This window comes from Homo sapiens, chromosome 18, assembly GCF_000001405.40.
Source record: "Homo sapiens chromosome 18, GRCh38.p14 Primary Assembly".
In the NCBI taxonomy this organism is placed as follows: domain Eukaryota; kingdom Metazoa; phylum Chordata; class Mammalia; order Primates; family Hominidae; genus Homo; species Homo sapiens.
The window spans coordinates 73190602-73217412 of record NC_000018.10 but is presented as its reverse complement, the minus strand read 5'-3'; the positions used below and the strand labels follow the sequence as shown (position 1 = coordinate 73217412).

Below are 26811 nucleotides of genomic sequence, written 5' to 3'. Positions count from 1 at the left end.
TAACTTTTTTACATCTATGAGCAGAGAAAGCAAAATCAAGGTAAAAATAGAGGTCAAAAGAGTACGCGGGGAAGTGGCATGTGTCCTGCTCCTTTTTACCTACGTAGCTAAATATGCCAAGGATTTACAGAATGAGTTAAATGACACATAATTACTTGATAATCAAAACACTATATTTTTATTTTAAGAATGTTAAAAGAAAACTCTGGAAATATCATCTGTTGTGCATTCCAGTATTGCAGAAAATAAAATAAATTATTATGTATGTGTCTGTGAGTATTTCACATTTTTGAACTGTATTGACATAAACAGCTATGTTCTGCAGTCTGACAGAAACAATTACGCATTTAAGGGAAATAAAGTGATGAGTATAATAATAATCAGCAGAATATAATAAAAATCCCTAAAAGAAATGAAGTGCAATCATATTTTATTCCAATTTAAATCTAAGTTTTAGATCTTTTTTTGTTGTTTCTGTTAAAAATCATAAGTGAATTTGCTGGGATGGGTAGTTCTGTGTTTAGATGCATATGTGTTCCCTAAAAATGAGAAAGTGAACTTATTTTGCTTACAGGATTACAAAGTGGCAATAATATCTTTGAGTATAATTAACATCAAGTGTAATTCTGTACATAAAATGACTTTCAAAAGGTTTGTAATATTTTAAATGTTATATTTTTAACATATTGTTTCATGCGTATTAAATTTCTAATAATGCAATCTTACTTCCATTTATTTAAAACTGAATATTTGATCACAAAATAATAAAAATATTACTGGGATCTTAACAAAGGCATGTTTAAAATAATTACACAAAGAAGGGAGAGAGTAATTGAAAGCAAAGTATTCTAAGGTCCTAGCACCATTGAAAATGATTTAAAAGAACTTACATTACACTTCATTAATTCAGAGATATCATTTGTGATAAATCAAGAACGCAGAAATGCTGGTTGAAAGCAGGACACAAAGTATAAGTTAACTTAATGAATGACAAAATAAAGTATTCATATATATATGTTTATATTTCTATATAATATATAATTATACATATTACCATTATAATGCATTATGCGTGTATAATATATATAATGCAACCAGAGAACATGAATAAATTAGTAAAAGATATAATTGGTGCATACATATTAAATGTGCAAGTAGATAACATCTAGAGTGTTTCTATACAGCATCAGAGATCTTACAATGTAATAAACTTTGGAAAACATTAAAATTTCAATGGATATTAAGTAACATTTTAATATGTGTTTAGAATATTATAATGAACTTGATGTTTTGCCATACCAGGCCATGTAACAAATGCCACAGTACTCTGAAACAAATTAAAAATAGAAAAGGTCTCCAAAGAAGAGCATGCTTACTTCTTTCCAGAACTTACTCTGTGAGAGATAAAGTCATGTAAATAAAATTATGTATGTTATAGCATCAGTTTGTGTGCTGAAACAGGGCCTGGTATGTGAGATATTATGACACTATGAACAAGAAATTAGGAAGAAAGTAAGAATGTGAAATTTGGGTAGATAACTGATAGATGAATAGAGCTTTTTCAGGTAGACAGAGGAATTTTTGAGGCCAAGAGAGGACCAGGAGATCAGGATGTTTAAGATACGAAAATAGTATTTTGCATTTGGGGAAATTCAGCCTTTGGCATAACTATAGTGTCCAGAGTGTTCAACAATTAATAATAATAGTCAACAGTGATCAAGGCTTTAGTACATGCCAGGGTTCTTTACCTGTGTTACCTATGTATACCACATGTAATGTCTAATTTATTCTTCACAATAATCCTTTATGATACATTATCCTCCTTTTGCCAAGAAATAATAAGTAAATGAGGTCAAGCTAATAATATGGTATCCTTTCAAATAAATATATTGTATTTGTTCAATATTCATTTAATTGTATCAGAGAAAAATGCATTATTAATGATAGAGTTTATACATTTATTTCTCCATGTTTGAAATAAGGGCTTATTAGGTGTAATTCCCCCACCTCCCAAAACATACCTCTTAGATCAGCATCTTTATACTTTTCCCTTTGCTTGTATACAGTAGAATATTTCCCTTTGCTTATATTTGCTTGCTGGTAAATATTTAATAGCTGGCTCTGGGGAAAAAAAAGAAAAGGAAAGGAAAGGAAAAAAAATCCCTAATACCTGATGTTTGCTGATTTCTGTTGTGCAAATACTCCTACCAGGGTAAATTTAAACTCCCAAAGCGTGACGTCACTGAACACAGGGCTGGGAAGACGAATGTACACACTATGTCGCCACCCAGCTCAACAACGCAACAATGCAATGGCCCATGTCTCTTCCTTCTTGTCATTCTTAAGACTTCATTATTCATAATACGGTGGTGTACTCATCCGACCCAAATTTCTTTATATCATGTATCTTTGGAATAGTATTTTCCACACTGTGTAATGATTCTTTTTGATTACGTACTTTGATTTTTTATCTTTTTCTTTCCCCACAAGAATGTGAACTACCAAAGGGGAGGAGCCTTGTCTACTTTTTCATCACTGTACCACACGTGTATCTTAGCATCTGTCATATAAACTCAATGCGTATATGTTGAATTGAAGAATAAGACTTTGGTCAAGGCAAATATGAGAGGCATTTCCTTTGATCATTCAAGTTACTAAATCAGTAGGTTCTAATGATAACAAAAAGAAGTTAAATTGGTGATATGGTTGAATGATAATTTAATTATGATATGATGTAATTTGGGGACCTACATCTTTATAAAGATGAAATTGTAAGGCAAATATGGAATATTCCACTTTTTCCAATAGAGATGTCAGATGAACAGCATGAGGTCATTTTCTGCTAAACCACGATTTTGTGTTTTGTTTTTTATTGTAGCTCTGTGGAATGGAGTGGAAGAGGTAGAGCAATGGTTAGAAATAGGAAGGCAAATATTGGGGCCTATAATTTATGCTAATGTCATTGATCACAAGGACTACTGAAATGTTGCATCTCCAGTATGGAGTGCATGAGAGTCTGCACAATGATCAATGTTGTGTCAATGCTTATTGAACTGAAATTAAGAAGGAGACATTTAAAGGTTCAGGGTAATGTGATCAAGATAAAATGATTTTCTGGATCTTCGAGTTAATATTGATAATGCAGCTATATCATTTTGTTTACAACTCAATCTTCACAAATTTTTAGATGTAAGTATATTCAAATATTGTTACATTCTCAGGGTCAAATACAAATTATTTGGTAATTATAGTTTTCCTGGGTGAACTTCCGTAGTTTAGGTGGTTTAGGAAAACCAGTCTAGAATTTTTTGAAGCATGGCATTGGATATGTGCTGACTGGCTCATGTGCTCATATTCTGTGATATAGTCTGATTACTTTAGAGACACATGTAACCAACTCTAATATCTTTTCTCTTTGCTTTTAATTGAAAAACTCTTCTTGGTATCCTTGTGGGTTAATGCCAAGATAATTAATTGTACTCTACCCATAAAGGAGAAAGTGAAACATTCTCAAGGCAATCAAAGTAAACTGCAGAGAAGAGTAGAAAAAAGTGAAATAATAAATTTCTGTGTCATTGAAGTAATATAGAAATTCATATTAAGAAAACATTTACTTTTTAAAAAATTGTTAATAACAAGTCATGCTTATGTGTTCATTTTTAAATACCATTCTGCCCATCGGAATGTGTTTTTAGCAGTAGGATGCACATATCACACAAACACAATTCATCAATGAATAGGAAAATTGTATTGATCTCTTAAATTACTGGATTTTCTGGGATTTGTTTTTACAAAGGAAAACACAAGAAAGAAAAGTTAGATTTAAATCATATAAAAACAATGTATTGTCTTTCTGAGATCCATTTATCCCAGTAAACTCCTTTTTTACCTTGAAATTATTCTTCCTTCCTTGTTCCTATTTTCTAGTGTGCCACCATTGCCTATCTGAAAATTTTGCTTAATACCACCTCTTCTGATTATTCCATACACAGACTACACATTTTCCCTTGATGTTGCTCTAGGTTTCTTAACAGCATCATGCTTTCCATTAGACAGCAACTAAACCCCCCTATTTTTTTCCTCTGTGGGACTATATTTGCGTTATGCCTCTTTGTCATTTTTTAAAAAATTTTATTGTTTTAATTTTTATTTTTGAGATGAAGTCTTGCTCTGTGGCCCAGGCTGGACTGCAGTGACCCAATCTCGGCTCACTGCAGCCTCCTTTTCCCGGGTTCAAGTGATTCTCCTGCCTCAGCCTCCTGAGTAGCTGGGATTACAGGTGTGAGGCAACATAGCTGGCTAATTTTTGTATTTTTAGTAGAGTTGGGGTTTCACCATCTTGGCCAGGCTGGTCTCAAACTCCTAATTTCAAGTGATCCTCCTACCTTGGCCTCCCAAAGTGCTGGGATTACAGGCATTAGCCATCCTCTTTGGGTTGACATGAGTTTTTTTTTTTTTTTTTTTTTTTTTTTAACTTCTGCCTCCTTATCCCCACAGTTTCCACAAATCCCCATGCTTATTTGTAACTGGTAATCCAATGTTTATTCACATCATTGTTCAGTCTATATTCATGATTTTCGTTTTGCTAAGTGTCTCAGACCCCATTCTCTAGCTGAGCCTCGGTGCCCCAGAAAATGAGGATAGAATATATATTTCTGTATGCACAAGATAAGAACTTTCTGTGGATGTGTTATCTGTCTGACTTCATGTTTTGACCATCTATACATGCCTCATTCCTCAGTTACGTCACTCTCTCTCTCTCTCTTTGTGTGCTTTCTAAAGGATTCTATTTAGCTTCTGCATTTGTGAGCAGCTGAAAACAGAACGGAATTCAATTCACTATATAGAGCACTTTGAATTGTCTCTCTTTGGCTAGATTTTAAAAATGTAATAAAGGGTGTCATGGAAGGAACTTATTTTGGAAATCCAGAGCTCATTTGCATCTATATTGTATTTTATGTCAAGGATTTAGGAAGGTCAAACACTCTCATTGAGATCATATAATAGACAGAGGTCACTTTTCTCTGCAGACAAAAATCCTTCATGATATTTATTCGTGAACTAGGACAATCGCAACAGTAAAATAATTCATTGCCCAAAATATCTTTGCTCAAAAATTCAAATAGCCAGATGGTGGTTGCGCATTCTTACATCCTTTAAAATATGCTGCAGTCAACAGATTATAAGTCAGTGAGAGAAAGGAGAGTTGATATTCAGTGTAAATATAATATGATCATAACCATCTATCTGTTATATGCAGTTACAAGAGAAAAATATGATGAAAAAAGGAGTATTTTCCTTAATACAGGTCATGGTATTTTGTGCTAAAAATTGGTGTAATATACATTTTATATATAAATGTATTAGTCTTAGATTTATTCTACCATATATGAAGACTGTCCTACATCATAAAATTCAAGAATTTAATTCATGATTCTTATGTCATACTACATGCAAGCTTATCAAGTAGTATGTCTTATATGATTGGCCCCCAAATAGCAGCCAGTTAGGCCTAATATAATAATGTCTATATCTACCTGATACATTACTTTCCCTAGTGTCATTTCTTCAGTTGATATGGTACAGAGTTGGGGCTTAGGAATATTCAGACTTTAAAATTGGGATGTATAATTTTCCCAGTTGTAATTATTTTATAAACAATTTTTATGTAGTAGGCTACATTCCTTTTTAAATTTTTTAAAAGAGAGGAAGAGAAATTTCACAGTTTTGAGAAATATGGTAAATTGAAATCATAATTCCAGCCAGAGGCTTGGTTAAACAAAACTTTAAGGAAGCAGTCCTATAAACATATCATTTTAGAACCAATATATTTTATCTATCTATCTCTCTATCTATCTATCTATCTATCTATCTATCTATCTATCTATCTATCTATCATCTATCTGTGTACCTATCTATCTATCTAAAGGAAATTGTTTATCAAGGTGGAATAATTCAGGAAAAAGATATTCATGTCTATAGGAGATTTACAGACACTTTTCACTCCCTGGAATGCAGTCCTCCCTTACCCCAGCCTCTTGCTTTCCATTCTTACATCTGCTAATTTCACCTCACCTTTTGCCTACCAACTCTATTGTCAATTTCTCTGGGAAGCTTCTTTACCCTCAGCACCCACCCACACTAGTTTATATTCCTTACTTTCACATAACTCTTTCTTATTTAACTCTTACAACAAATAGAATTTTAATTCTTGATATAATTATTTGGTTGATTAGACTATGCCATCCATAAGAGCAGGGACTGTGTCTATTTTTGATTACCAGAATCTATCCTAGTGTGATATAAAAATATTTGTCAAAAGAATAAACTCGGCTTAAAGAATACGTATCATGTAAGTGGTCATTTTAGTTATTAAATGCAAATAAATTCATAAATAGTAAATAAATAAGGGAGTTTAAGGGGACCTCTCCATGTAGTATTACAAATATTGCCCTTTGAAACCTGTTGTATTGCAAAGACTGTGCCTGGTGAAAAGGTTGTCAAACTTGAAACACTTACAACATGAAAACTTCCTGGTAAAAAATGTTTGAGATCTGTCTCTGCTGTCTAAGGAAGCCGAGTGGTACAGAGTGCCAATAAATGGATGCTTAGCACAGATAAAGGGGTCTGGGTCAGCTGAGGACCAAGAGCTGGAGCAATGGTCCTCCTCCCTACCTGAATCTACATTCCCTTGTTATTATGCATAGACATATCCCAATATGGAATTCATGGCAAGTGTAACTAGCCTATACACATCTATTCAAGAAAATGAAAACATTAATAAATTATGATAAAATATTCCACATTTAAGCATTAAAAAGTGTGAACTACAGTTAAGGACAAAGGCATACTTTGCACTCCCACCAACAGTGTGAAAGCATTCCTATTTCTCCACATCCTCTCCAGCATCTGTTGTTTCCTGACTTTTTAATAATCGCCATTCTAACTGGCGTGATATGGTATCTCATTGTGATTTTGATTTGCATTTCTCTAATGAGCAGTGATGATGAGCTTTTTAAAAATATGTTTGTGGGCCACACAAATATCTTCTTTTGAGAAGTGTCTGTTCATATCCTTCACCCACTTTTTGATGGGGTTGTTTGTTTTTTTCTTGTAAATTTGTTTAAGTTCCTTGTAGATTATGGATATTCACCCTTTGTCAAATGGGTAGATTGCAAAAATTTTCTCCCATTCAGTAGTTTGCCTGTTCACTCTGATGATAGTTTCTTTGGCTGGGCAGAAGCTCTTTAGTTTAATTAGATCCCATTTGTCTATTTTGGCTTTTATTGCTATTGCTTTTGGTGTTTTAGTCATGAAGTCTTTGCCCATGCCTAAGTTCTGAATGGTACCACTTAGGTTTTCTTCTAGGGTTTTTATGGTTTTAGGTCTTACGTTTAAGTCTTTAATCCATCTTGAGTTAATTTTTGTGTAAGGTGAGAGGAAGGGGTCCAGTTTCAGTTGTCTGCATATGGCTAGCCAGTTTTCCCAGCACCATTTATTAAATAGGGAACTCTTTCCCCATGCTTTTGTCAGAATTTTTTGAAGATCAGATGGTTGTAGATGTGTGGCATTGTTTCTGAGGTCTTTGTTCTGTTCCATTGGTCTATATATCTGTTTCGGTACCAGTATCATGTTGTTTTGGTTACTGCAGACTTGTAGTATAGTTTGAAGTCAGGTAGCGTGATGTCACCAGCTTTTTCTTTTTGCTTAGGACTGTCTTGGCTATACGGGCCCTTTTTTGGCTCTACATGAAATTTAAAGTAGTTTTTTCTAATTCTGTCAAGAAATTCAATGCTAGCTTCATGTAGGTAGCATTGAATCTATAAATTACTCTGGGGAGTATGGGCATTTTCACAATATCGATTCTTCCTATCCATGAACATGGAATGTTTTTCCATTTGTATGTATCCTCTCTTATTTCCTTGAGCAATGTATCCTGTCTTATTTCCTTGAGCAGTGTTTTTTTGTTCTCCTTGAAAAGGTCCTTCACAGCCCTTTTAAGTTGTATTCCTAAGTATTTTATTCTCTTTGTAACAATTGTGAACAGGAGTTCACCCATGATTAGTTCAACTATTGTGGAAGACAGTGTGGCAATTCCTCAAGGATCTAGAACCAGAAATACCACTTGACCCAGCAATCCCATTACTGAGTATATACCCAAAGGATTATAAATCATTCTACTATGATTTATGTATGTTTATTGCAGCACTGTTCACAATAGCAAAGACTTGGAATTAACCAAAATGCCCATCAATGATAGACTGGATAAAGAAAATGTGGCACATACATACCATGGAATACTATCCAGCTATAAAAACGAATGAGTTCATATCCTTTGCAGGGACATGGATGAAGCTGGAAATCATCATTCTCAGCAAACTAACACAAGAACAGAAAACAAAACACCACATGTTCTCACTCATATGTGGGAGTTGAACAATGAGAACACATGGACACATTTGTTCACACAGTGTGTGAAGGGGAACATCACACACTGGGGCCTCTCTGGGGAAGGGGGGGCTAGGGTAGGGATAGCCTTAGGAGAAATACCTAATGTAGATGACAGGTTGATGGGTGCAGCAAAATGCCATGGCACATGTATACCTGTGTAACAAAGCTGCACGTTCTACACATGTATTCCAGAACTTAAAGTGTAATAAAAAAAAGGTATACTTTGTATTTAAAGTCACCATTGGTGATTCTGTGGGAATATGGGAGCAGCTTCTGAAGTTCTAGTAATATCGTGGATATATATGGGTCTCCATAACCACATATATTGTTATAATGCCTCATGTAGACACACTGATGTTTTCTCATAGTCCTAAGATTAACTCAAACATCTTCAACATCTTTGCTAAGCCCCATATGAGTTAGTGGCATCTGTGTCTTCTGGTCAAGAACCCATATCTTCATTGAAGAGTAAACATGGCTGCCTTTTGCTCCAAAGAGAGACACTGCCTCAACCTTCTAAGACTCTTGCTATGCAAGCATCTTTTTTTTTTTTTTTTTTTTTTGAGATGGATTCTAGTTCTGTTGCCCAGGCTGGAGTGCAGCGGCGTGATCTTGGCTCACTGCAACCTCCGCCTGCCATGTTCAAGCAATTCTCCTGCCAGCCTCCCGAGTAGCTAGGACTACAGGTGCGCACCAGCATGCCTGGATAATTTTTTGTATTTTTAGTAGAGAAAGGGTTTCACCATGCTGACCAGGCTGGTCTTGAACTCCTGAACTTAGGATCTGCACATCTCAGCCTCCCAAAGTGCTGGGATTACAGGCGTGAGCCACTACACCTGACCAGCATCCTTTTAAAGATAGTGTGGAAAAAATGGGAAAAACTTTCCTTTTGAATTGGTTTCAGCTCATCACAGGCTTGTGGCAATTTTTCACTTTCTCTGTCCATTCACAGTCTAAAACATATGTGTCTGGATGTTCATAGCCATATTGTTTATAAGTGAAAACACCAAAAGCAATCTAAGCGACATTTTCTAAAATAGTGCAGATCAATAATATTGCATATAAGTACAATGAAACATTATGTAATATAGATTTGCATTTATTAAAATGAAAAAACATAGAGGATATACTAATACAAAACAGAATATAAAATAGTAATTCAAAGTATAGAAATAAAATAAGAAGAGCCCACTGTAGCTGTTATTGCTTTTGTTGGTTTATGGTTCATAACCATAGGAATCTTATCAAAAAATTTTTTGAAAATTGTTGCAAATCTCTCTCTATATATATGTAAAACATATATGTGTAAAACATATATGTGTAAAACATATGTGTGTAAAACATATGTGTAAAACATATGTGTGAAACATATATGTGTAAAACATATGTGTGAAACATATATGTGTAAAACATATGTGTGAAACATATATGTGTAAAACATATGTGTGAAACATATATGTGTAAAACATATATATGTAAAACATATATATGTAAAACATATATATGTAAAACATATATATATGTAAAACATATATATGTAAAACATATATATATGTAAAACATATATATGTAAAACATATATATATGTAAAACATATATATGTAAAACATATATATATGTAAAACATATATATATGTAAAACATATATATGTAAAACATATATATGTAAAACATATATATATGTAAAACATATATATGTAAAACATATATATATGTAAAACATATATATGTAAAACATATATATATGTAAAACATATATATGTAAAACATATATATATGTAAAACATATATATGTAAAACATATATATATGTAAAACATATATATGTAAAACATATATATATGTAAAACATATATATATGTAAAACATATATATGTAAAACATATGTGTAAAACATATATGTGTAAAACATATGTGTAAAACATATATGTGTAAAACATATATGTGTAAAACATATGTGTAAAACATATATGTGTAAAACATATATATATACACACACACATATGACTTATATATACTTAGCAGGATACACACATAGCAAGATACACACAAATGTTAGAAGTTGTTAACACCAGAAAGCATAATTTTGGTGACTTTATTTTATCTAGTATACTTTTCTACCATTCTTGAATGCTTTGTATAAGGAATAAGCTATTTTCCAAAGCATTTGGTGCCAAAAAGTTTTATAAACTCTCTGCATTTGTGTTCTTAAATTATTAGGTGCAATAAGAAATTTATTTTCCTAAGTGTCCAGCATATGGAAGAGTTACACATAGAGGTGCATATCCTAGAATAGGTTCTCTGTGATAGTTACTGCCCACTGACATGTTCTTGGTTCCATATTTCTTTGTTTTTGTTTAAAATGTAAAGTTTAATGGTGCTATTTTCTTTGCTGCAAGGTAGTTTAAATAATTTAAGATAAAGCAAGGAGATACAAGTGCACTGTATTATCATTAATCTCTTTAGTCTCCATAATACCAACACTTTTTGCAAAGCTATGTAACTGAGTCACTTATTCAATAAGCACCTACTTAACACTCATTCTATGTCAGACAAAATGGTAAGCCTATATATGAAAGAAGAAAGTTCCTGTCTGAAAAATGTCAGCACGGGACATGAGAAAGACTAACAAATTGACTACAACACAATTTTACAGACACTGTGACAGATCATGGGTATGGGTGAAATGTGCCCATGAAAGGGGTGTGTGTGTGTGTGTGTGTGTGTGTGTGTGTGTGTGTGTCTGTACTGGGGAGTTGTGTTTGTGAAGGGGTTGTTATGATTTTTTTCAGAGTACATAGTGTTAGAAGAGGACTCCAAAAGGAAGTCATACCTGATTGCTAAAGAACAAACTTGAAATAAATCTTAAAATAAATATTTGGAAAAAAAAAGAGAAATATATTCAAGGCAGAAGAGCAAATGGATGGAAACTGTAACAAACAAAGTGATAGTCATGTTCTGAGAACTGAGAATTGAGCAATTTGGTATTGTGTTGTATTCTCATAGGACAGTGGCAAGAAATTGGCCTGGACATGTGAGCAGGCTGTGTCAGTAAAGTGCCTTGTACACCATGCTAGGAGTTTGCAGTAAAGTCAGACTCAGGGTACATTTGAAAGACCTTAAACAAAGGAGGAAACTTATCTATTGTATTTGTAAGAAAAAAAATTCTAAAAGCTGTATAGGAAAAGGATTGGCCACGAAGCACGAAATATAAATATAGAAAATTGTTTTTTGAGGCATTTCTAGATCAAAAGCTGTTTTCCAAGTTAATATTTTCACCTTCTAGTGTTCGTCCATATCCTTCTCCTCCAAATTCAAGGATTTTGATGAAAGAAACTCCTCTTCCCAAAGAGGAAAGAAGATCTTTGCAAGAAACTTTCATGATTTTCAATTTAGGCTATTTAAGCCTCATACATTGGGAAGCTCAGAGACAATAACATATAGTTGATCTTACATTGAATAAATCAATAGGACATTTATTTATTTATATTTTTTATTTCTTTTTTTTTTTTTTTGAGGCGGAGTCTCACTCTGTCGCCCAGACTGGAGTGCAGTGGCACGATCTTGGCTCACTGCAACCACCGCCTTCCAGGTTCAAGCGATTCTCCCGCCTCAGCCTCCCAAGTAGCTGGGACTACAGGCACCTGCCACCATGCCTGGCTAATTTCTATAGTTTTAGTAGAGAGGGTTTCGCCATGTTGGACAGGCTGGTCTCAAACTCCTGACTTCAGGTGATCTGCCCACCTCGGCCTCCCAAAGTGCTGGGATTACAGGCGTGAGCCACTGCGCCCAGGCAATAAGACATTTATTTTAAATATATTTTGAACTCAACCCAGCCTTGAGTACTGTGTTGGGCATTTGATTTGCTCATGAATATATGCCTTTATCACAGGAGATTGTCATATGACACACTGAGGAGGGGTCAGAATCACTTTTAGGTATCTTTTAGGTCGGTAATAAGTTTTAATGCTGCCTTAAATATATTTATTTGACCGTAAGTACAGGACTTGATATTCACACTTATAAAGGACTACACACAACCTTCTTTTAAAAATTCATGAAATAATAACCACTGTAAAACACATACTCCCTTAAATTATTCTTAATTGCTATTCTTTGTAAAGAACAATGAGCTTGTCAAAAGTCTTCACTGCCTCCACCTCCATTGTGGCTAAGACAAGACAAGAAAAGTATAGAAAGTGATCTCTATCTCTGGCTGCTTGTTATGTGTTTAGTGAGACAGAATTAATGTCCATAAAATATTTTTAAAATAATAGATTATAGAGTATAATCAAGTGCTAAAATTGCTGTGAATCATACCTATGCTGCAGAAGTTTTGAGGAAGGAGAGAGATCCTTATAAACTAAAGGAATCAAGAAAGAATTGATTAGGAAAGTGGGAAATTTCCAGACTTTGAAATGGGAGAAAGTTTTTGAAAATATTAACAATGGAAATGTATGGAACAGTTATTACATATTTGGTGCTGCGCTAAGTATATCGTGCACATTCCACAATCAGTTCCTTACAAATATTTAATAAGAGAAGCTTCACTGCTCCCATTTAACAAATGAAGGAAATGAAACACAAAAAAGCAAGGGGGTGCCACAGCTCACACAGCTGTTAGGTTCAAGCGTGTTCTTGAACCTAGAGCTCCCAACCTGTGCTATTAAATTCTCAACAAAGAAAAACATGAGCTAAAAGATGTGAATAATGTATGCATTAGCTCACTGCTGAAAGGCCATCGGCTTGTTCCTTGAACAATTTTTTAGAAGTAGCGATTATTGGGCTGAACTGCCCACATTGTCTGAAAATACATCTTAAAACAATACTTTGGTGATGGCAAATTTCAGTCCAGAAATGGAATTATCATTAGTCCAAACTCAACTTAACAGTTTAGAAAGTAAGATGAAACTGGTTAATCAACTACATTATTAAACATAAATACGATGTCAACATTTGAAAATTTTGGATCTAAAAAACCAAGTTTTCTAAAATCATATGATTATAATTTATTAGAATAACTTTTATGAAGCAAGTAACTCTTACCCTTAATTTCAAAGTATACTGTAACAGAATATATCATAAGTAGAATTATCCACATTATCATCTATTAGATCTTATGCAAAAAAATCACTAATATTACTAAAGGTAACTACTTAATCTTTGTGGCATAAGGTTTTTGTAAAAAAAAAAAAAAAAAAAAAACCAAACAAAAAAACACATTTATTTAGACAAGTTGACCATATAAGGTATTATTTCACTATATGAGGTGTCAAAGAAATCTGTTTACCTGAAAATATCTCTACTCATTTAAATAAATACAACTGCAGTGTGAGGAAGTGAGGCCAGGTAATACAACCTTTTTACAATTTTAATTACTTTAGCTTGTTTCTAATGCAAGATAATTTTTGATGTGTGTAATATTCTCAAATTCTGCTCTGAGTATCTTTACAACTATAGGATAACTTTGGGAAAGATATTTGCCATGTTAAAATTACATAATAAAACATTGTCTAGAATAAACATCTTTTGGAAAACATTAAAATAACGAGAAATCTCTACCTAAAAAAGGCAAAAGATGTAAATAGGCAGTTAGTATAAATGGAACCTTAAGAATGGCAAGCACATACAAAACTACTCAGACTCACTATCTAGAATCATGTAAATTAAAAGAATAATGCCAACTCACTTCACACTTACTACACTAGCAAACACTATGAAACTAGAGGATGTGGGGAATGGAGAAACCCTCTTGCTGATGGAAAAGCACCTGCTGCAGCTATTGAAGAGCATCTCGGGTTGCTTAGTTAAATACCTGCATTTCACATGGCCCAGCAATCCTGCTCCTGGGTATGCAACCCCTAGAAACTCTAACAGAGGTTCATCATGGCACATACAGAAGGTATTTGTTTTCGTATGGCTTGGAGGGACATTTGAGGCCATTTGGAAATCTATCACTGAGGTACAGTGAAATGTGGAAGATGTACACTGCGGGCACTACACAGTGCTGAAGAGCGATGCTCAAGCTCTGCACCTAGTAACATGGATCAATTTTAAGAGTGTCCCACATCTCTTCTTCCCGACCCACCCCAAATGCCACACTCTGGTAACCACCACCTGCTCTCTATGTCCATGAGTTCTGCTTTTGTAGACTCCGCAGACACGTGAGATGATGTGGTATTTGTCTTTCCGTACAAAGTTTCAGTTAAACGGGAGGAATAAATTTTAGTAATATTGCACAGAATGGTGACTATAATAAATAACAGTGCACTCTGTATTCCAAAACTGCTAAAAGAATATATATATTTTAAATATTTCCCTACAGAAAAATGATAATGATGTGATGCGATGAAGTGATTAGCTTGTTTCACCATTTCACAATCTAAACATATATTAAAACATCACATTGTACCCCATAAATATATACAATTACTATTTGTCAATTAAAAATAAATTAAAACGAAGAAAGTGCTAAGTGAAAATAAATAAGAAACAAAATTCAGTATGTATAATGCACTGAAGGAATTTAGTCTTCAAATATATGCATTTAGAAAGAAACATACAAAACATATATATACTCAATTCATTAGAATGGCTGCCTCTGGGGAGCAAGGGGAGTAGGTGTGGTCGGAAAAAAATTTAAGGGGCTTAATTGACTTAACTAATACTATCTACTGTAAAAGACAAATCCTGAATATTCATGACTTCATGCATGAAAGTTTTAGTTTTGCCTCACATTATACTGCCATGAGCAAATGTATGGGCAGGCAGCCAAATGATATACTCTGGGGATTCCGCCCACCCTATAATAATTCACAAATAACCCTGTGAATCATTTCCATCCCAACCAGTAAAAAGGAAGAGGTGTGGGAGTTTTGATGGGCCAAGCACGGAAGGTGCACCTCTCACCATTGCTCCCCATCATTAGTCATGCTTTGTCGTGGACAGTCAGCAATGAAAGCTGGGGAAGGTAGGCCGGGTGCAGTGGCTCACACCTGTAATCCCAGTACTTTGGGAGGCCGAGGCAGACAGATCACGAAGTCAAGAGATTGAGACCATTCTGGCCAACATGGTGAAACGCTGTCTCTACTGAAAATACAAAAATTAGCCTGGCATGGTGGCACATGCCTGTAGTCCCAGCTACTTTGGAGGCTGAGGCAGGAGAATCGCTTGAACCGGGAAGCGGAGGTTGCTGTGAGCCAAGATTGCACAACTGCACTCCATCCTGGCGACAGAGGGAGACTCCATCTCAAAAAAAAAAAAAAAAAAAAAAAGAAGAAAGCTGGGAAAGGTAAATTCAAGTTGCGTGCTGTGCAAAAACAGAAATGAGTTCTATGGAGAGTGAGCCAGTACTGCCTGTACATGTAGAATGATAATGTGACTTAAATTGAAATGTTCAGTCAATGCAACCATCTGCACTGAGGTGCACCTGTCCCTAACTATACATGAAATACACTGAGCTTTATATCAATCAGTCTTGAATGATGAAGCAAAATTATGAATACACATAATATTCGTCCAGGTATTGCTGTGAAAGCATTATGGGGATTGGGAACAACTGTAATCAGCAGAGAAATATGTTTTTAAAATGGAGAAATAATTGCAGTCAGGAATTATGCTACATATACACATAAAAACCTCTATCATGAAACTTGAAGTATGTAGTAGAATATTTGAATAATTATTAAATTGATGTAATTGCATTTTAGAATGTAACACATCACTACAATTTTTCCTTACGATTATAATGTGGGAAAATAGCAAATGGAAAAGATATACTAGAGAAAAATCACTGTGACTTGATTGAGGCATTGTGTTTGATAATTATGTGATATTAAGATATCCCAAAATATCAGCCAAAATAGGTTAGGCCCAGTTTTCCCTTCTGTCTTTTCCTCATATTGAGAGTCAAGACTTCTTTCCCTACAATCACTTAATGCACTTCTATCTCCTGTGTCCATCAACCTGACAGGAAATTATAGAACACATCTGTGTTTGTTCTGGGGACTATGTTTATTGTTCTTTGCATCTTGGCTGTTAACATCATCTTATAATTTTCAGTGAATTTTGGTAACAAGCATATTTCCTTTCCTTCTGCCTGTTGTTGTGTGACAGACAGGGATGGAAATTTTTATCTTTTTTTAAAATGTTGCCATTTTTCTCTTTTCTCTAGTTATGCCTCCATTTTCCTCTGCTGCATGGCCCCAGGAGAGATTTTAATTAGCTTTCTAACCTTGGTCCAGATTGCACATGCAAATGGTAGAGGATGCAACACCCCCGCTTGTGGAGCTGCCGCTTGTGTCTGGCATGGTGAGTTCAACATTTGCTGCAAGTCCCACCGATTCTGACTGTTTCTTTCAAGGGCCACATATTCAAAATCGAAACTCATAATTAAGCATCATATGAACAAAATACACTGCCAGCTGAATATTCATTCGGATATGAACGATAATAATAACTGTTCCATTGCTGGTGTAGATAGAGAGTTCCTGAATAATCCCAAAGATTGTTAAAATTAACAAGCTTAATTACTTGAAAAAACCTTGTGCAAATTAACATGATCATATGCATTTCAGGAAAAAGCACATGATCTTTTACATAATGAATGATATTTTGCTGAGATTCTTGGGTTTGTAAGGCATTGTTGGCCAAGCATGGAATGTTTTCCTATGGTATGGTGTGTGAAGTGAGTTACACGATACGCAGAAAAACATTTATGTTTCAATATTTACCTTAAGATATATGACGTTTTAATACTTCACCAAGCAGTAATTTTGCAGATATTATTATTAAGAATCACATAAGCAGCACTAGTAATGTTTATTTTCAGACAACATGAACAGTAGGTGTGGTACTTGAAACCTTAGAAACAATGTATTTCCATCATATCTGATAAAAAATATAGATAGTACATAACATATAAATTACTCATGTAGATTTGTATATTGCTGACTTCAGGAAAAATATCCCATGCCTGAAATATTTCTTGGGAGATGCTTTAATTCTGCTAAAGTCATGTTTCTCACAATAAGAGAAACAGTTTCATCTTTGTAAAGATACTCTTTGATGGGCACATAGGGAAGCAGAAACCAGTTGAGATAGGTGTTATCACTTAAGAAAATACTGATGTACTATTTAAAATAGTAAACCATATTAAAAGCATGCCACGAAATTCTCAAAATGTATATTCTCTGATTTTAAGGAGATTGGAAATGACTACAAATTTACTGTGTACTTGGCTGTCACGTAGAAAAGTACTTATTTTTCAAAAAGAACCTCATGTGCCTCTGGACTGAACATTGTATCTGTGACATCCGATTCATGATTGAGATAGGCTGTGCAAATGTTCATATTTTGCAGTTATATTTATTCATTTCAACAGCTGAGGTCTATTCTTAAAAAGAAACCTTACATCATCCTTCCCTCTGTAAGACAAAGTGTATAAGATGATTGCAAACCTGTAGTCATGACAATACCTTAATAAGGGTGAGTTGTATTATTTTGTTAATCTGAACAATAGGTTTTAAATCCATGTGAAGAGCACACTGAAAATAGTTTTAACATTAATAAGAAAGACTTGAAAGACTTGAAAAAACGGCTTCTTATGTATTTTCCTGAGCATGCTCATAATTGCAATTGTGCAATAATTTATTTTCTCATCATTCTTCAGACATTACTAAATCCTTTTACATACTCAAATAACAGAACTTAGACATCACTTCATGTGGCTTCTGCAAAGGGAAAAATGGGAATAAAATGCACTTACATCATTTTGTTTGAGAATTAATTCTCAACATCTAAACCTTTTAGTAAGGTGTTTAAATACATTTTTTCTTTTTCTATATATGCATTTGTAAATAAAGAATCCTAGTGCTGAGTAACATTAAAACAAAAGTAATAATCCTTTATACACAGGTCTGTTTCACCAACAACAAAGTAATGTCGAATAAATTGTCCTTTATATTTACTTTACCTACTGCTTGTTTCTCTTTTATCTATGCCTGTCTGTGCTGTGTATATGGGACAGGGGACATTGCAAATAGCTCACAATGTCCACACAGTCATTAAATTCATATATTAAGAACAGCAAAGCAAAATGATAGAAGGGGCCTGGGGCCATAAGGACATTGAGGAGGAGACACCTTATTGTTCCTAAAAAAACTATCTTCAGACTGATTATGTGAGAAAACCAATGTTTATTTAAACTTCAAGAGTCAACTTTTTGTTGCATGAGTTAAATGCACTCATAAATGTTTCAGACAGTAAGCAGATATGATGGAAACTCATAACTATTATGTTCAAATCCAGGACATTGGGATAGATCCGCTACTTCTTGACACTATTTCCATAATAATGCCTCCGGCCACCGAGTGGAAAATGTAACAAACGGGCAATATAGGAAAAGCATCATGGCCCCTTTCTTAAGAGTGAAAAACTGAGATTGTACAAAGATCATGATCCAATCATAACTTCGTTTAGATAATTTTGATTATTTCAATATTTTATGAAATATAATAATATGCAAAATATATATCTTAAAGAAATGGCAAAGAACGGCTCAAAACTGAAGAAGGAGAAGTAACTGGCAAGCCACGATGCCATGGCAGCTAATGAACTTATTTCCATCACTTTCGTTTTAAATATCTATCCAGGATGCACTCTTATTATCCAAATGTTATATGCATTAGAAATAGAACAGAAATATAAGTAAAGTAATTTTCCTGAATGCAATACAGAGATAAAGAGAAGAAACTTTGAATGAAACATTAAATGATAAATATAAAAAAGCAGAAAGTCTAAATATCGATTTAGCCAGTGTTTCATACCGATACAGTCGAGAAAATGGGGAAGAGGAAATACTTGCTGCTATAATGGTTAAAAATTTGGAATTGTTCAAAGACACAAAAGCTCAAATTTGTTAATGCCAAGGAGCCCCAACAGATTAAATATAAAGAAATCCACATTTGTACAAATCACAGTGAAACTGTTAAACATCTAAGACAAACAGAAATGTCCAAAGCCACTGAAGAGCACAGAGCCCAGTATCTATATTGAAATAAAAAATGCAGTTAGACTTACAGGCTGATTTTCAATGGCAACAGTGGAAGCCAAGACAGTGCGATATGATCCTCAATGTACTGAGGATAAATGTCCAGAGTGAAACTATTCTATCAAAAAAGACAAAATAAAAGTTTTTATGTTAAAAAAAAAAAAAATCTGGCCGGGCACAGTGGCTCACACCTGTAATCCCAGCACTTTGGGAGGCCAAGGCAGAGAGATCACTAAAGCTCAGGAGTTTGAGATGAACCTAGGCAACACAGCAAGACCTCGTCTCCACTAAAAATACAAAAATTAGCCGGGCATGGCAGTGGATGCCAGTTATCTCAGCTACTCAGGAGGCTGAGGCATGAGAATCGCTTGAGAACAGGAGGTGAAGGTTGCAGTGAGCCAAGATCCTGCCACTACACTCCAGCCTGGGCGACAGAGTGAGACCCAAGAACAAAACAAAACAAAACAAATCTGATGGCACTTATGATAAATAAATATAAAAGAATTATTTCAGATGAGCAAACATTATCTTGATAAAAGACTGACATGCAAATAGGAAGAATAAGCAAAGATGCTAAGTGTAAATAGATTTTAAAAATAAGGAAACAAAAATAATAGAAGTATAAAATAGTAAGAGTAAAATATAAAATAGAGTACCTAATAGTTGTTATTTTATTTATATATTTTATTTTATTTTATTTTATTTTGAGAGGGAGTTTCGCTCTTGTTGCCCAGGCTGGAGTGCAGTGGTGCAATCTCGGCTGACAGCAAACTCTGCCTCCCAGGTTCAAGCGATTCTCCTGCCTCAGCCTCCCGAGTAGCTGGGATTACAGTCATGCGCCACTGCACCCGGCTAATTTTGTATTTTTAGTAGAGACGGGATTTCTCCATGTTGGTCAGGCTGGTCTCGAACTCCTGACCTCAGGTGATCCACCCGCCTTGGCCTCCCAAAATGCTAGGATTACAAGTGTGAGCCACAGAACCCGGCCAGTTGTTATTTTAAAAACACATGTTGGAAATAAGTGTGTTGAATATTGTGATTTTCTACCTTAAATCGTACTGTTTGGTATAATAAATTAGATTCCACATTACTGTCATTTCAAGAAATTAATTTGCTAAATTAGTCTCTGGAAGCACACATTGATTGCCAATCAGATCCTATCTTTGCAGCCAAAATCAGCTATCTTGGATATGGTCAGTTCTAGCCCATTTCTGATAGGATCTCAGTGACATACCTTGAGAGCATATGTCTCATTAAACACTCGAATAAAATTAAAGTAACTTCACAGACATTTTGCCTCTTTTTTGACCTGATTCAAGGACCACTCTCAATGATGGGCCACTGTACTTTTTAAACTGCCTACGTTTATTGGCTTTCTGGGCATAATTTCATGTTTCACCTTATTAGAAAAGCTACTTAATTTTTTTTGAAATATTATATAAATTTAAGTTTCCCAGAAAAATAATTTATGAGATTTCTTATGGGGCTTGGGTTTGATTTTTACCAGTCTACAACTAGATCACTTCTTACCTTGTTGATAAATACGTTAGGAAAAACGTAAGATAGCTTATAATTATAATGTCCTTAATTGTTGTTTCCATGGGTCAAATTTGACATTAGTTAAACTTAATGTGATATATAGACTATGTTACTCATGATATTAATATAATCTATTAATAATATATTAATATCTTAAATGTTAAGTTTTGTAGCAAGAAATTCTGAACAGATAATAAAATTCAGACTGGTTAAATCAAAAATCCCACTCATCCTCTCTCTTTAAATTGTAATTACATTTCCTTCCTTCCAAAATTACCGCTACCACCACCACCACCACCAACAGTGCTATAGAACAAAAAAGTCAAACATTTTTCTAGATATGGTTAAGTAGCTTATGGACACCTGTCATTATTTCTCATTTCTTGCCAAATAGATTAACTTGAAATTAACTTTTACAAATAAAAATCAATTTTTTATCCACTAACCCAGAAGCTGACAGTCTATAGTTAATACCTTGGAAAACAAGTCAACTTATTTAAAAACTAAGGAGTAGGACTGTTAAAACATTTTTTAAAAAAGGAAATATATGGCATTTTATTGGATTTATTAAGAAATTACATCATTTAAGGACATTTCTTCTACTTGTATTTAATTAAACTTTTAAAAAATAACTGTGATGGTTATTTGTTCATTGCTATTTTGATATTTTTGGCCCTTAATTGCCCCATTAGTTCTATACTTTCGCAAACTCAAAATGTTTTGAATTGATTTTAACTTTTCACATTTTAAAATGTATGTCAACAATTTCGCTCCTTCACTATTTAAATACATGTCTTTTTACATGAAGAATCATAAGTTTATCTTATCAAGGAGGAACTTGATAAATACAATAAATGCAAGCTCCTTTGCCTCTAATTCTCATCACTCTGGCCACTTATATATTATACTACCCAGTGTACTACGTTTTTATTCACTGTAACTTAATTGTCCTTCCCTATTAGAACATGTGCAATAGAAAGCCAAAAGTGCATTTAATTTTAGGTTTGTATTATCAGCTTCTGTCAAAGTAATGGCACATAGTTGGTGTTCAATATCCAATAAAGGAACGAATAAATAAACTGATCGATTAGGATGCTTTTTGTTTGGAACAAGAGTATATCTAATTACTCATCCAGACGCACCTGTTTCAAGGAATCAGAAAGATTGGACTGCAAAGACCAAATAAAGATAACAAAGCGGCCGGTTGCGGTGGCTCACGCCTGTAATCCCAGCACTTTGGCAGGCCGAGGCGGGCGGATCACGAGGTCAGGAGATCGAGAGCATCCTGGCTAACACGGTGAAACCCTGTCTCTACTAAAAATACAAAAAATTAGCCGGGCGTGGTGGCGGGCACCTGTGGTCCCAGCTCCTCGGGACGCTGAGGCAGGAGAATGGCGTGAACCCGGGAGGCGGAGCTTGCAGTGAGCCGAGATCGCGCCACTGCACTCCAGCCTGGGCCAGAGAGCAAGACTCTGTCTCAAAAAAATAAAATGAAATAAAATAAAATAAAAAATAAAGCCGATAAAACTCTGATGTTCTAGGTAATTTAAAAATAGAAATAAATTAAGCTGAAAATAAATCCTGACACATACTATCTCTGTCTCCCACTTTGTCTTTTTAGCAATTTTCATTCGGGTAAATATTGTACGGCAATTGTCAATATAATTATTGTTCATTAGAAAAATTAAATATCTATTACCCAATCACCAAAATGTCACTTTTATTATAGAAGCCTCGACAAATCAGTAAAATTGCTCCAAATTTTGAAACGTGCATCTTTAATTGAAAATGTAACAATAAACTGTCAATATACTTTATAATTGTTATCATAAACAATGTTTTAATTTTAACGACCATTTTGCAAATTACCCCTAAGCATTTTTTAAATCTCCATACAGGTTCGTGAGATATATTTTATTTGGTGGAGTTTGATTAACATGCTTCATTAGGCCACATGTGAAATTAAAAGTACTTACAGGCTCCACTGTTTTCAACTCTCTCTCACCATAACAAACACCAAGTGGATACAGATGAAATTCACTGAGCCCAACACATTCTGGAAGCACATCACTGCTCTGTTGATTTGCTAATGGAGTAAATAAACCTATTTTCTTCATGACAGGGAAGTGGAAACTATACAAGTAGGTGTGTAGCTTATTCAATGATTTTACTTAAAATTCAAGCAAGTGTTTGTGAAAAATAAATTGTTTTTTAGTGAGCAACAGATTGTGGAGACATCGCATAAGGGGATGATACCAGGAGGCTGTAAAACTCTTAAGGGATCTCAAAATAATGGAGTTCAGCACTTACTGAAATTGCATTCTGTGGCTTGAGTAAAAGTGTTTGTTTAAAAAGCATAGAGAATTTTGTGTCAACTTTGGAGACAGAAGCTATTTTTAAAACCCTAGTAACCTCAAGGACTTAAGAAACCAATATTACCCAGCTGATTTCATTTCTAGAATCTGATCCTATTGTGACACACTTTTCTATACATACTGTCTTTTTAAGTTTTAACCTTTATTTTATTTACCCAACTCAACTGCCCCACTCATACCTGAGCACTTACCCTGACATTCTAGGTAATCTAAAAATAGAAATAAGTTCAGCTTAAAATAAATTAAATAAATCCTGGGACATTCTCTCTCTCTCATTCTTGTCTTTTTATGACTTTCCTATATCAAAGGTTCTGGGGTATGATATAGGTAAATTTAATATCCTTTTAACTTCTAGTTAACCCACTAGATATGGCTTATAAATCTAGTTTTTGACAGCAGTAAAGGATTTTGCTGAACCTTTTCAAGTATGCTGCTATTTTCAGGCATACAGTTAGTGGTTATTTCTTCTGTGGAAATAAGGGCAAATTTTACTTCAAAAAGATAAGTTTATTTTCTTAGCACATGATAGAGAAGGTAATATGAGGTGTTGTCTATATTCAGAAAGAAGGAGAGTTTTCATACTGAATATGAATAGAACCACCAGAAATATTTGGATTTTGATATGCTCAATATAAAAAACTACCCTTTAAATTTATCCTGAAAGGATTTCTTTGGTGCTTCATTTATTAAGATTGGTTTTCTAGTTCTAGCATACACTTTTACTCAAGCCTGCTTTGACCAATTTCATCCACTTGTTTTATTCATCTTTTCAATAGTTGTTTCCAATCTGATGCTTCTGCTTGTATCATATTTTTGTTAATAGATGTACGTAAAGATTAATACAAATTATCACCTTTTATATTTAAATCATTGGTAGATTTTGTGACCATGCTAAATTTAAGCATGTAGGCATTAAACAACTATTGAATTACGATGAACAAAAATAGCTTATATAAAGGAAATGTGTGCCACCAATAAATTTTCATGTCAGAGACTGAAAATATAAATGCCTTCAGCAGGAGGGAATTAACACAGGTATCTGTACTCAGTGGATAGATAATAGCAGGAGCAAATAAACTTGTTTGATAAGGAAGCATATCCCCCCCTCCTTACAGTATCTATACTGTTGTCTATACATGCTGTTATAACAGAACTATCAAACTGAGCAGATGACAGGCATATACAATACATATATATTGTATATCATCACAATTCTGAAACATTTGTTCTATGTGAAATAAAAGGGAGATGTTACAATTGGAGAGATCTTGAAATGTGACAAAAAGTTTTTAAACTGCAGTAGGATGTGTACCCATCAGCACATCAGCAATAGCAAAAAAAAAAAAAATAGACTTTATTCTGTAGGCAATAAGGATTCCTTATGAGTATTGAGCAGGGAGTGTTAATATTATGAGAAAAGCGCTACTGGGAGATGCATATGGCAGCTCTGTGTAGAATAAAATAATGTAGGTAAAAAATAATAAGGCATAAGAATTAGAATAGTGGCACTAGAATAAAGTGTCACTGCGTTTTTGTTGTTGTTTGTTTGTTTGTTTGTTTGAGCCAGCAATGTCCGGCAATTGGTTGAAGGCACGGGGCAAAAAACCATACAATTATTTCCAGCCCTTGAACTTAAATATGCCTAAAATCTTGATGCATTTCTTTAAGAATTAAAGCAAAAGGAATGGACTTTGTAACAGGTATTAGTGTTGTATTTGAAATTCTAAATAGATATTCAAGTAGAGATTATGATAAACATTTATTTGCAAAGTTAGGGTCAACCTTAAGAAAAAAACTAGTTCCAGAACTACCATTTCTTGGGCACATTTGTCTAGTATTACACATGTCACCATTAGTTCTCGTGTCAGTTCTACGTGGTATTTATTCTTACTGTATTTTCAGGTAAATAACTTAGTCAAGGCTAGTCACTGTGCAGTGTGGAGCCTGTGTGCTTCCAGCTTCATAAAGATGTGGAATACAATGACATAGTTAAATTCCCTACTGAAGGATATTTCTAAATATAACAGTGGAGAAGAGTAGAGATGGAAGAGAAGACAAGAAGCATGAGAGGAGAATGAGTTTATTTGTTCTTTTGGTAAGAGAAGGACTAGATAAGCACAAAATGAATGAAACCAGGAAGAGAAAATTAAAGAAGGAAAATAAAGCAGAAGAATCCAGAAAGAATGATGTCTCTGAGTTTCCCACCACACCCCAGTTTGAATGGTTTATCTATGTACAAGGTATCAGTATTTCTACCCTGCATCCAAAAAAATGAAAACATGTACCTTTCTTTGGATTTATGCAAAAAAAATCTACTTCTAAAAAGCATCATGAAGAAATGTAATCTTCAATGAAGATTTCATAGAGGAGGTAATAGTTGTAGAAAAAGCAGTGAATATTTATTGAGGATTTTACCTTTTATATAGCACTGCTCTAAGGAAGATAACGTTTGTTAATATCCAACACTCACAACACCATTATAAAGTACATACATTTTACAAATGAGAAAACTGATGTTCAGGAAGTTTAAGTAGCTTTTCCTAAGGCAACAAATACGTTTAAGGAAATCACATGAACACACAAGTCCCATTGGTAATTCTTTATTTAAAATGATCACTTTTACATGGAAGTTCCCACTCTTTTTCATTTATTTTTTTCTTTTTGTTGCATTGAAGGTTTCTGTCAGCGTATGAGTAAACTGAGGTAGATTTGTGAGCCCTGTATTGTGTACTCCTAGAATTATTTTAAATTACTCCATGTATTTCAGTTTAACTTGTAGAGGATTTGTAAAATATTTGACAATGGCTCTCAGCTTAGTAGGGAACCAGAGCTTACAACTAATCTTGAGGATCTTGCTTTGTTCTTAAAGGGATTTAAGTTTATGAAGGAATTGAGATTTAGAGGATTTTAGCTTTGAAGACCATTGAAGGTTGGGAATTTAATTTTCTTTCTGTACTAAGTATCCTCTCGAATGAACATTTGTTGTTATCAAAGGTTACCCAACGTGGCAGATTGTCATCTGGAATTACAGTATAAATATGTATACTGTATCAAGAGCAAGGGTCTGGGATAGAAGATGCATGAACTTTGGTGTCCACTGATAAAAACTCATGAGTCCAGCAACGTCCATTGGAAAGCTTTGCTTTTGGTCTTGTGCTTTGGGCCCCAGTCTGCCTATGACTCCTGGCAAAAGAGAAGTTTAGGAAAGAGATTTGTTGCAGTGCCAGACTCTCATCAACAAAATAAAAGCTCACATGACATGTTAATAATTGGCCTGAAATAGAATTTGTCAGAAGGATGCTAGTGGAAGGAGAAATTTCTGAACTCTTCCACCCCTGGGGTCAAATCAAGAAACAAATTTATCAATCTCTGCGTTCTTGCTTCTTCCTAATGAAAA

The 26811-nt window shown here is 34.3% G+C and overlaps 1 long non-coding RNA gene across 1 annotated transcript in view; it reads left to right on the top strand.

Annotated features, from left to right (window-relative positions):
* LINC02864 (long intergenic non-protein coding RNA 2864) overlaps positions 1-26811 on the top strand; it is a 110441-nt gene that overhangs the window by 47086 nt on the left and 36544 nt on the right. The window contains exon 3 of the long non-coding RNA NR_034133.1: positions 16624-16760. This is a non-coding gene — a long non-coding RNA (long intergenic non-protein coding RNA 2864). The remainder of the gene's footprint in view (positions 1-16623; positions 16761-26811) is intronic.